Source organism: Homo sapiens, chromosome X, assembly GCF_000001405.40.
Source record: "Homo sapiens chromosome X, GRCh38.p14 Primary Assembly".
Taxonomy (NCBI): domain Eukaryota; kingdom Metazoa; phylum Chordata; class Mammalia; order Primates; family Hominidae; genus Homo; species Homo sapiens.
In genome coordinates this window covers 84,363,589-84,375,742 of record NC_000023.11, presented here as the reverse complement: position 1 = coordinate 84,375,742, position 12,154 = coordinate 84,363,589, and the positions used below count along the sequence as shown (strand labels likewise).

Below are 12,154 nucleotides of genomic sequence, written 5' to 3'. Positions count from 1 at the left end.
AACAGTCCCCAGAGTTTGATGTTCCCCTTCCTGTGTCCATGTGATATCATTGTTCAATTCCCATCTATGAGTGAGAAAATGCGGTGTTTGGTTTTTTGTCCTTGTGATAGTTTGCTGAGAATGATGATTTCCAATTTCATCCACGTCCCTACAAAGGACATGAACTCATCATGTTTCATGGCTGCATAGTATTCCATGGTGTATATGTGCCACATTTTCTTAATCCAGTCTATCGTTTTGGACATTTGGGTTGGTTCCAAGCCTTTGCTATTGTGAATAATGCCGCAATAAACATACATGTGCATGTGTCTTTATAGCAGCATGATTTATAATCCTTTGGGTATATACCCAGTAATGGGATGGCTGGGTCAAATGGTATTTCTAGTTCTAGATCCCTGAGGAATCGCCACACTGACTTCCACTATGGTTGAACTAGTTTACAGTCCCACCAGCAGTGTAAAAGTGTCCCTATTTCTCCACATCCTCTACAGCACCTGTTGTTTCCTGACTTTTTAATGATTGCCATTCTAACTGGTGTGAGATGGTATCTCATTGTGATTTTGATTTGCATTTCTCTGATGGCCAGTGATGGTGAGCATTTTTTCATGTGTCTTTTGGCTGCATAAATGTCTTCTTTTGAGAAGTGTCTGTTCATATCCTTTGCCCACTTTTTGATGGGGTTGTTTGTTTTTTTCTTGTAAATTTGTTTGAGTTCATTGTAGATTCTGGATATTAGCCCTTTGTCAGATGAGTAGGTTGTGAAAATTTTCTCCCATTTTGTAGGTTGCCTGCTCACTCTGATGGTAGTTTCTTTTGCTGTGCAGAAGCTCTTTAGTTTAATTAGATCCCATTTGTCAATTTTGGCTTTTGTTGCCATTGCTTTTGGTGTTTTAGACATGAAGTCCTTGCCCATGCCTATGTCCTGAATGGTAATGCCTAGGTTTTCTTCTAGGGTTTTTATGGTTTTAGGTCTAACGTTTAAGTCTTTAATCCATCTTGAATTAGTTTTTGTATAAGGTGTAATGAAGGGATCCAGTTTCAGCTTTCTACATATGGCTAGCCAGTTTTCCCAGCACCATTTATTAAATAGGGAATCCTTTCCCCATTGCTTGTTTTTCTCAGGTTAGTCAAAGATCAGATAGTTGTAGATATGTGGCGTTATTTCCAAGGGCTCTGTTCTGTTCTGTTTTGGTACCAGTCCCATGCTGTTTTGGTTACTGTAGACTTGTAGTATAGTTTGAAGTCAGGTAGCATGATGCCTATAGCTTTGTTCTTTTGGCTTAGGATTGTCTTGGCTATGCAGGCTCTTTTTTGGTTCCATATGAACTTTAAAGTAGTTTTTTCCAATTCTGTGAAGAAGATCATTGGTAGCTTGATGGGGATGGCATTGAATCTATAAATTACCTTGGGCAGTATGGCCATTTTCACGATATTTATTCTTCCTACCCATGAGCATGGAATGTTCTTCCATTTGTTTGTATCCTCCTTTATTTCATTGAGCAATGGTTTGTAGTTCTCCTTGAAGAGGTCCTTCACATCCCTTGTAAGTTTGATTCCTAAGTATTTTATTCTCTTTTAAGCAATTGTGAATGGGAGTTCACTCATGATTTGGCTCTCTGTTTGTCTATTATTGGTGTATAAGAATGCTTGTGATTTTTGTACATTGATTTTGTATCCTGAGACTTTGCTGAAGTTGCTTATCAGCTTAAGGAGATTTTGGGCTGAGACAATGGGGTTTTCTAGATATACAATCATGTCGTCTGCAAACAGGGACAATTTGACTTCCTCTTTTCCTAATTGAATACCCTTTATTTCCTTCTTCTGCCTAATTGCCCTGGCCAGAACTTCCAACACTATGTTGAATAGGAGTGGTGAGAGAGGGCATCCCTGTCTTGTGCCAGTTTTCAAAGGGAATGCTTCCAGTTTTTGCACAATCAGTATGATATTGGCTGTGGGTTTGTCATAAATAGCTCTTATTATTTTGAGATAAGTCCCATTAATACCTAATTTATTGAGAGTTTTTAGCATGAAGAGTTGTTGAATTTTGTCAAAGGCCTTTTCTGCATCTATTGAGATAATCATGTGGTTTTTGTCTTTGGTTCTGTTTATATGCTGGATTACATTTGTTGATTTGCGTATATTAAACCAGCCTTCATCCCAGGGATGAAGCCCTCTTGATCATGGTGGATAAGCTTTTTGATGAGCTGCTGGATTCGGTTTGCCAGTATTTTATTGAGGATTTTTGCATCAATATTCATCAAGGATATTGGTCTAAAATTCTCTTTTTTGGTTGTGTCTCTGCCAGGCTTTGGTATCAGGATGATGCTGGCCTCATAAAATGAGTTAGGGAGGATTCCCTCTTTTTTTTAAATACCTGAATTCTTTTACCACAATTTTCAATGTGCCAAGACTCTGAACCAAATGTCTGCCTACCCACATTCCCTAACAGATTCTTGTGTTTCCATACATGGATAGAAGCCGATTTGGGGCAACATTTCCTATCAAAAGTGCTCCTCGTCAAAATAGCTCTGTTTTTCATTCTTTCAAACATGAGTAAGTTAGGCACATCCTGTTTGCTATGTCATGGCTTTTCCTTAAACTAGGTCTTATTCTTTGGAAAATACCTATGTGTTTTGTTGTTTTGTTTTAATCTATTCTGAAAACATCAGCTTTTATGAATTAACCCACAAGTTATTAAAAATGACATATTTTAATGCAAATAAAATATTTCTATATTTAGACAATTTAATCACATGGATTATCTTAACACTATCAGTTTAAAACTATGAGTATTTTATATACATTTTCAAAGTAATTATAATTTCTTAGCACCTGAGGAGATTTAGGGGTAGAGATGGAGATGGCAGGATAATTTTCTGCTATATAAACATTTTATTAATTTAAACTGCCTTGTCTCTCACCTACTGTAAATCAAGTTCTGAATTTTTGTGATAATAATTGTTCTGTAGACATTGCAGAAGCTTTCCCATTCACAGATAAGAACACAGCTAAGTCATATCTATGATAAACCTTTGGGAGTTTACATTTTACAAGAACAATTCTCGCTTTTAGTTATTTGTTGTGCTTTAGATCTGTAAGATTAAAATATTTTTTAAAACTGTAAGAACAAAAAAGAACTTACACAATGCAATGAGATTAAATGAAAAAAATTAAAATGCAAAACTCTAGCAGGTTTCAAACTTATATTACAGAATCCTTGGTCAAACATCAGTTTTAGTGAAAGCAAATGTAAACTTGCTGTGTGCTTATGTACCACATGCCTAGTAGATACTCAATAATGTGAAGTGGCCAGCTGACAAAATGATCCTGTATAGTGAAAGGTTTACCACTGATTTTTCTTTTTAATTAAGGCTATGCAAAAAGTTATTTTAATCATGTCTTAAAGTTGCATATAAAATATATATATGGGTAACCTGATGACTGTACATGATGCCAAAAAAATACTTAATATTTTAAAATGTAACAGCACTTTCTGATGTTGGCTTAAGATTGTGAGAGCTATGCAAGGAAAATTATGCAAGTTTTCCTTAGTGCTGAACTACCTAGTTTATTACTATGACTACCCTCTTTTTCTATAATTCTTTGACTCCCACTTCTTTCTGTCTCAACAGCTGCTGTTCTGTCTTATTATATCTGGCCATTCGAAGACATCTACAGATTTATTTTATTGTATCAACAATAGAATTCTTTCAAATTACATTTTCTTGTAAATTTCCTATTTTGATTTATTTTTTAACCAAACTCTCCACAATTTTCTCATCACTAAACAATGGAGACATATAACTGGTGCCTAATCACTGTAGGAAGTTAACAGTAGATATGGTGAAAGTGGGCAGCCAACCAGATGCCATATTGCAGGAGCTTGCCGCAGATTGCTGTTCAATTCTAGAACTTCGCAGCAGGGTACTAGGCCCCCACATTTAATTTCATTAACGAATAATTCTCCTCAGAGAGCACATAAAAATAGGCAATAAGCATCAAATGTGAACCTGAGATACTTTGAATGGTGATATGATGATACCAGCAAGGCAGGAAATCAGACCTTTTCCACATGCTAGCTGTCATGTGAGTGACATCTGTGTTCCATGGGGGCTGTGACACCCTGCTTTAAATATACAGAAATGTATAATATCTAAAAGAACAAAACAATAGCCAGCACGAGATGCCCTTCACAAAGAAGCTGGAGCAAAATCCAAGCATGCTCAGCTATTGCTGCTCTTTCTAAAAAAGCAGTTTATTCTCTCAGGTACCTGTGATTCTCCTGTTAAGTTAGTCTCCCCTCATAGCACCTGTATTTTTCTTCCCATTTAGGATACAGGTGTGTGTATGTGGGGTAGGTTTCAGAAGAAGGCTCATGTTTACTAGGTTGCTATGAATATGAACCTGATTTATTTTACATGTGTTTTCTCATTTAATCTTTTTTAGCAATCCTCTGAGGTGGGTAGAATTATGCCCATTTTAACATAATGAAAATAAGCTTCAGAGAGAGATTAAGTCACTTTTTCACAACTAGGAAGAGACAGAACTGAGATTCAAATACAGGATTTTCTGGATTCCCACTGTTTTGCACTGAGGAGAAAATTTTCAGCTTCTATTTGTTACCAGTTGTAAGCCCTTACGATGTGCTCCACATAATAAAAACCTATGCTATTTCTGGCTTTAAATGTTTGTTGCTGGAGAATAGAAGTGTTGTACATATATGTTGAAATGATGGACCTTACATGTGATATTTTGTTTTGTTTTGTTTTTGACAAGTTTGCAATTATATACAGAGGCTTACCAACAATTCTTCTATTTCATATTAAAGATACTTCCTGCTAGGTTTAGAATAAAAATAACTTATTCAATTCTGTCCAAAGAGGATTAGTTAATTTTTCAAGGGAATTCCTTAAGAAGTGTAGCTATCTTCATTCAATGCTTTTAAGCTTAGCTATGATAATAGGGGGTCTTGTTCCACTTCTGCTTATCAGTAGAAATTTTCTATTTGTATGACATTTCCCTAGCAGAGCATTGTGATTGACACTGCTTGTAAGACAAGTAAAATGTTAGCCGAGCAATGTCAGTTGAAACTCTAGAATTCACTGTTGATCTTTTTAAAATAAATAAACTGACAATGACAGCACTTTCTCACATATGGTATATTTGGAAAGGAGTGGGTCAGGGATTTGGATGCCAGAACTCCAGAGACTGAAAGCCAAAAGGTAACTCTTGCCCAGACCCCTATTCTGTAAGATTGAACGAAGTTCTTTTCAAGAATAAATTTCAAGTAGTTTTGTGATGGTAAGTGGTTTATATTAGGCAGCGATCTCCAGAGAAACAGAACTCATAGATTGGATGGAGATAAAGAATTGTCTCCCACTATTGTGAAAGCAGAGGTCTCACAATCCTCAGTCTGCAAGCTGGGGACCAAGGAAAGATGATATGTAGTATTGGTCTCAGTCCAAAGGCCTGCGAACGAGGAAAGCCAAGTCCAGTAAATTCCAGTCCCAAATCCAGCAGCTTCAAGATCCAAGAAGAACCGATGCTTCAGTCTGAGTCCAAAGGATAGAAAACACGAGTGTCCCACCTCAACAATCAGGCAAGAGGAATTCTTTCATACTCAGGCTTTTTGTTCAGTTCCAGTCTTCAATTAAATAGATGAGGCCCATTCACATTAGGAAGGGCAATCTACTTAACTCAGTCTACTGATTTATATGTTAATCTAATTCAGAAACATCTTCACAACACACCCAGAATAATGTTTGACCAAATGCTTGGGCACCCCTTAGCCCAGTCAAATTGACACATTAAATTAACTACCACAAAGATACATTTCAGAAAGTCAAGGATCAGAAACTATTAGAATGTAAAAGATAACTTTCTTATTGAAGGATGTTAATATCAGGAATATATTTTTACAACTCCTACAACTCAATACCAAAAACAAATAACCCATTTAAACAATGGGCAAAGGACTTGAATGGGAACTTCTCCAAAAAAGATGTACAAGTAGCCAACAAGCGTATAGAAAGATGCTCAACATCACTAATCAACAGGGAAATGCAAATCAAAGACTCAATGAGATTTCACCTCACACCAATTAGGATATCTACTGTAAAAACACACAGAGGTGCAAAAACACGCACACATGTTCAGAAAATGGCAAGGGTTAGTGAGGAGATAGAGAAATTAAAACCTCTATGCACTGTTAGTGGGAATGTGAGATGGTATATCTGCTGGGGAAAACAGTATGGAGGTTTCTCAAAAAATGAAAAATAGAATTACCCTATGATCCAACAATTCCACTTCTGGGTATATATTCCAAGGAATTAAAAACAGGGTTTTGAAAAGATATTTGTATGCCTATATGCATACCATTATTCACAACAGCCAAAACATGGAAACAATCTAAATATCCATCAATGAATGAATGTATGAACAAAAATTTGGTACATGCATACAATGAAATATTATTCATTCTTACAAAGGAAGGAAATTCTGACACATGCTGTGACATAGATAAACTTTGAGGACATTATGCTAAGTGAAATTAGCCAGTTACATAAACACAAATATTTCATTATTTTATTTATATGAGCTATCTAGAGTAGTTAAGCTAAGGAAGGTTTAATAGAATGGTCATTGCGTGGGGTTTGGGGAGGGGAAATGGGTAGTTTATTGCAAGGGTTCCCACTCCATGAGCCATGGACTGGTACGAGTCCACACAGCAGGAGGTGAGCAGCAGGCAAATGAGCATTAATGCCTGAGCTCTGCCTCCTGACAGATCAGTGGCGGCACTCAATTATCATAGGAGCAGGAACCCTATTGTGAACTGTGCATGCAAGGGGTCTAGGTTGTGCACTCCTTATGAGAATCTAATTAATGCCTGCTGATGTGAGGTAAAACAGTTTCATCCTGAAACCCTCCTCCCCGGTAACCCCACCCTCATCCGTGGAAAAAATTGTCTTCCATGAAACTGGTCCCTGGTGCCAAAAATGTTGGGGACTGCTGGTTTAATGGATATGAAAAAGTTCTAGAGATGGGTGGCACAACAGTGTAACTATACTTAACACTACTGAACTGTAGATTGAAAAGGGTTTATAATGGCAAATGTTACGTTGAAAAGCATTTATAATGGCAAATGTTATGTATATTTTACCACAATTTGAAAAATACATCAGTCAAATTAATTTTTTCCCAGAAAAAGTCACATAAGAGGCTTACTTTTGAGAACCTGATATTGCACCTCATATAGTTAACAAGCCATTTTCACTGGAGATAGAAACTGTGTTAATAAATAAATTGAATGAAACAATATATGGAGCATAAAATTTTGTAAAAGTCACATACACAATTTAAAGTTGTAAAAGTTTGCTAATAATAAAAATGTATGCAATGTGATTAAAATATCATTGTGTAAAAAAGACAACACTTTAACACATGTTTAGTACAGTTCCGGTAACTAGGAGTATAGAAATTTTAAAAATAAAGAAGAAAGAAAACCATGATTCTTTAAATGAGCATTTAACATAAAAATAAATGCATATGTTCAATAAGCATATAAAATGATTAATCCTCCTTATGCTTCAAGAAAACAAAATAAGAAGCTATGTTTTCACTAAATTGGCAGAAATTACACAGTAGAATAAAACCCAATATTTAAAAAGATAGAGGAAAAAAGGGACCATCATGCATTTCTGCCTTCATTCAAAGGCAGCTTAACAATATTTATTTAATGTTTAAATTATACTTTAAGTTCTGGGATACATGTGCAGAACGTGCAGATTTGTTACATAGGTATACACATGCCATGGTGGTTTGCTGCACCCATCAACCCGTCATCTACATTAGGTATTTTTCCTAATGCTATCCCTCCCTTACCCCCACACCCCAACAGGCCTCAGTGGTGTGATGTTCCCTTCCCTGTGTCCATGTGTTCTCATTGTTCAACTCCCATTTATGAGTGAGAACATGCGGTGTTTGGTTTTCTGTTCCTGCGTTAGTTTGCAGAGAATGATGGTTTCCAGCTTCATCCATGCTCCTGCAAAGGACATGAACTCATCCTTTTTTATGGCTGCCTTGTATTCCATGGTATATATGTGCCACATTTTCTTAATCCAGTCTATCCTTGATGGACATTTGGGTTGGTTGCAAGTCTTTGCTACTGTGAACAGTGCTGCAGTAAACACAAGTGTGCATGTGTCTTTACAGTAGAATGATTTAAAATTCTTTGGGTATATACCCAGTAATGGGATTGCTGGGTCAAATGGTATTTCTGGTTCTAGATCCTTGAGTAATTGCCACACTGTCTTCCACAATGGTTGAACTAATTTACACTCCCACCACCAGTGTAAAAGCGTTCCTATTTCTTCACATCCTCTCCAGCATCTGCTGTTTCCTGAATTTTTAATGATTGCCATTCTAACTGGTGTGAGATGGTATCTTATTGTGGTTTTGATTTGCATTTCTCTAATGACCAGTGATGATGAGCTTTTTTTAAATATGTTTGTTGGCCTCATAAATGTCTTTCTTTGAGAAGTGTTTATTTATATCCTTCACCCACTTTTTGATGGAGTTGTTTGATTTTTTCTTGTAAATTTGTTGAAGTTCTTTGTAGATTCTGGATATTAGCCCTTTGTCAGCTGGGCAGATTGCAAAAATGTTCTCCCATTCTGTAGGTTGCCTGTTCACTCTGAGGATAGTTTCTTTTGCTGTGCAGAAGCTCTTTAGTTTAATTAGATCCCATTTGTCAATTTTGGCTTTTGTTTCCATTGCTTTTGGTGTTTTAGTCATGAAGTCTTTGCCCATGCCTATGTCCTGAATGGTATTGCCTAGGTTTTCTTCTGTAGTTTTTATGGTTTCAGGTCTTACATTTAAGTCTTTAATCCATCTTGAGTTAATTTCTGTATAAGGTGTAAGGAAGGGATCCAGTTTCAGTTTTCTGCATATGGCTAGCAAGTTTTCCCAACACCATTTATTAAATAGGGTGTTGCTTGTTTAATGGGGTTGCTCCCCATTGCTTGTTTTTGTCAAGTTTGTCAAAGATCAGTTGGTTGTAGATGTGTGGTGTTATTTCTGAGGCCCCTGTTCTGTTCCATTGGTCTATTTGTCTGTTTTGGTACCAGTACCATGCTGTTTTGCTTACTGTAGCTTTGTAGTATAGTTTAAAGTCAGGTAGCGTGATGCCCCCAGTTTTGTTCTTTTTGCTTAGGATTGTCTTGGCTACATGCGCTCTTTTTTGCTTCCATATGCAATTTAAAGTAGTTTTTTCTAATTTTGTGAAGAAAGTCAATGGTAGCTTGATGGGAATAGCATTGAGTCTATAAATTACTTTGGGCACTATGGCCATTTTCACGATATTGATTCTTCCAACCCATGAGCATGGAACGTTTTTCATTTGTTTGTGTCCTCTCTTGTTTCCTTGAGCAGTGGTTTGTAGTTCTCCTTGAAGAGGTCCTTCACATCCCTTGTAAGTTGTATTCCTATGTATTTTATTCTCTTTGTAGCAATTGTGAATCGGAGTTCACTCATGATTTGGGTCTCTGTTTGTCTATTATTGGTGTATAGGAGTGCTTGAGATTTTTGCACATTGATTTTGTATCCTGAGACTTTGCTGAAGTTGCTTATCAGCTTAAGGAGATTTTGGGCTGAGACAATGGGGTTTTCTAAATATACAATCATGTCATCAGCAAAAAGAGACAATTTGACTTCCTCTCTTCCTATTTGAATTCCTTTATTTCTTTCTCTTGCCTGATTGCCCTGGCCAGAACTTCCAATACTATGTTGAATTGGAGTGGTGAGAGAGGGCATCCTTGCTTTGTGCCAGTTTTCAAAGGGAATGCTTCCAGCTTTTGCCCATTCACTATGATATTGACTGTGAGTTTGTCATAAATAGCTCTTATTATTTTGAGATACATTCCATCAATACCTAGTTTATTAATTTAAACGCACGTACTCTTTGGCTCACTAATGACACTTTGTGGTCTAAGGCCTAAAATTAAGGCCTCATATTCTGCACATATTGGCATCCAGGGAAAACTGGGAGACCCTCGAATGGGCCTCCCCATTGTGTTCCAGCAGATAAAATATGCTATTAAAATAGCTCTTTATATCATGGGCACCAAACACAATGCCTATTTATTTCTGAGTCCCTCAGTTCCCTGCTAGTCCACAGAATGATTCAAACAAGCCAATCACATCCTCCTTTGGGAACCAGGAGTTACACCACCTTCTTGTTACTACAAAGCTTGCCTCCCACAGACCCTGCTTGTTTACTCTGTTCCTAAGTGTAGCCCCATATGGCTCTGCATGGCATAAAATGTCCTCAGCCTGTGAGTATATGTGACTAATACACTACTGTTGATCTCATCTATCTAGTGTTGGGTGTCATGGTTTTGGCCATCCCTATGACTTTAGGTCAAAAATCCCTTTCTCACCAGTGGGAAGCAGAGGAGGTGATCAAAACACACTGCTAGGAATTTCACATCAAATATAATGTCCATCAATAGATAACTGTAACTAAAGTGTGGAGTGCCCAGATGATGGAGCACAATTTGGCAGTTAAAAACACTGAGGTACACAAAAAATTAAAAATAGAATTACCATATTATCCACCAATCTCACATCTGGTATTGAAAAAAAAAGAAATCAGGATATCAAGAAGATATCTGCCCTCCAATGTTTACTGCAGCATTATTCACAATAGCCAAAATATGGAACAACCTAAATGTCCATAGAGGGATAAAAAAACAGAGAAAATGTTTCATATATGTACAATGGAATTTTATTTAACCTTAAAAAGGAAGGAAATCCTGCCATACAGGACAACATGGATGAACCCGGAAGTCATTTTGTTAAGTGAAGTAAGCTAGGCACGGAAAGAGTGATACTCCTTGATCCCACTTATATGAGGAATCTAAAATAGTCAAACTCATAGAACCAGAGAGCAGAAAAGTGGTTTCTAGGAGCTAGTGGGAGAGGGAAATGGGGAGTTTGCTGTTCCACGGGTATAAAATTTCAGTTATAAAAGGTGAATAACCGGTGAAACCCCATCCTTACTAAAAATACAAAAAATTAGCTGGGCGTGGAGGCGGGCGCCTGTAGTCCTGGCTACTCGGGAGGCTAAGGCAGGAGAATCAGCTTGAATCCGGCAGGCAGAGGTTGCAGTGAGCCAAGATTGTACCACTGCACTCCAGCCTGGGCGACAGAGCGAGACTCCATCTCAAAAAAAAAAAAAAAAAAAAAAAAAAAAGGTGAATAACTTCTAGAGATCTGCTGTACGACGTTGTGCCTATAAATAACAATACTGAATTGTACATTGAAAATTTTGTTAGGAAGGTTGATGTCACATTGTGTTCTTGTCACTAAAAAAAGACTGAGGCATATCTGTTTTTGATTATTTAGAAAAATCTCTAACACACACTATTAAGTGGAAAAGTTTAGATTTGTAGTATCATGCCAATTGTTTGGCACTAATTCAACACTGCACTCAAAAGGGCAGTGTTGAATTAGAGATTTTTAATAGTCATTTCAAAGGAGTTTCATTTAAGTACAAATATATAACTCAGCTCCTCATTTAACCAAGATACATACTTAAAACAGGAAACTCTGCATCCCTATATCGGTGTTGTCATTTAATGTTATTTTAAAAAGAAAAGCAAAGAACCAAACTCTTAGAAGTGTCCTTGAGGCTGAGAAAATAACAGAAGATTTCTATTATTATACATTGCAATATAAGCCAAGTGAAGTCACTTGTTAAGTACAGTTATCTGGTTACCTGGCTAAAGTTTCAGCTTTCACCTAGATTGCCTGGGTTATTGGAATACTACTCTTTTCACTAAATCAACAAGATAATTGCCTCCCTCCTTCACCTCAGCCACAGGTTTAGGTTTCATGATGCCTTGCAAAGTGAAAGTGGCTTGAGAGTCCAATAGAAAAACAAAACTGACTTCAACTTCAAGCTTCCCTGGGAAAAAATTCATCTTTTCTTTTAAATGTTCACTTTTTTTTCCTTCTCTAAATGTGTATTCACAGTTTTACTGCGAATTGACTTGTATTACCTTATTTATTTTCTTAGTAAAAATATGCTCTTAGGAACTTTAAAAATAACTGCTCTTCCCCTATATGCTTCTTAACAGGCATTGTCATAATAGGT

General features: G+C 36.8%; 1 protein-coding gene across 13 annotated transcripts in view; it reads left to right on the top strand.

The window, feature by feature from the left end:
• Positions 1-12,154, top strand: part of HDX (highly divergent homeobox) — a 184,576-nt gene that overhangs the window by 126,711 nt on the left and 45,711 nt on the right. The window contains exon 5 of one of the 13 annotated variants that reach the window (XM_047441829.1): positions 3,633-7,679. The exons of the other annotated variants lie outside the window; for them this stretch is intronic. Within the exon in view, the coding sequence (XP_047297785.1) occupies positions 3,633-3,731 (99 nt within the window). The 3' untranslated portion in view covers positions 3,732-7,679. Of the gene's footprint in view, positions 1-3,632; positions 7,680-12,154 lie in introns of those variants that run through there. 13 annotated transcript variants of the gene reach the window in all.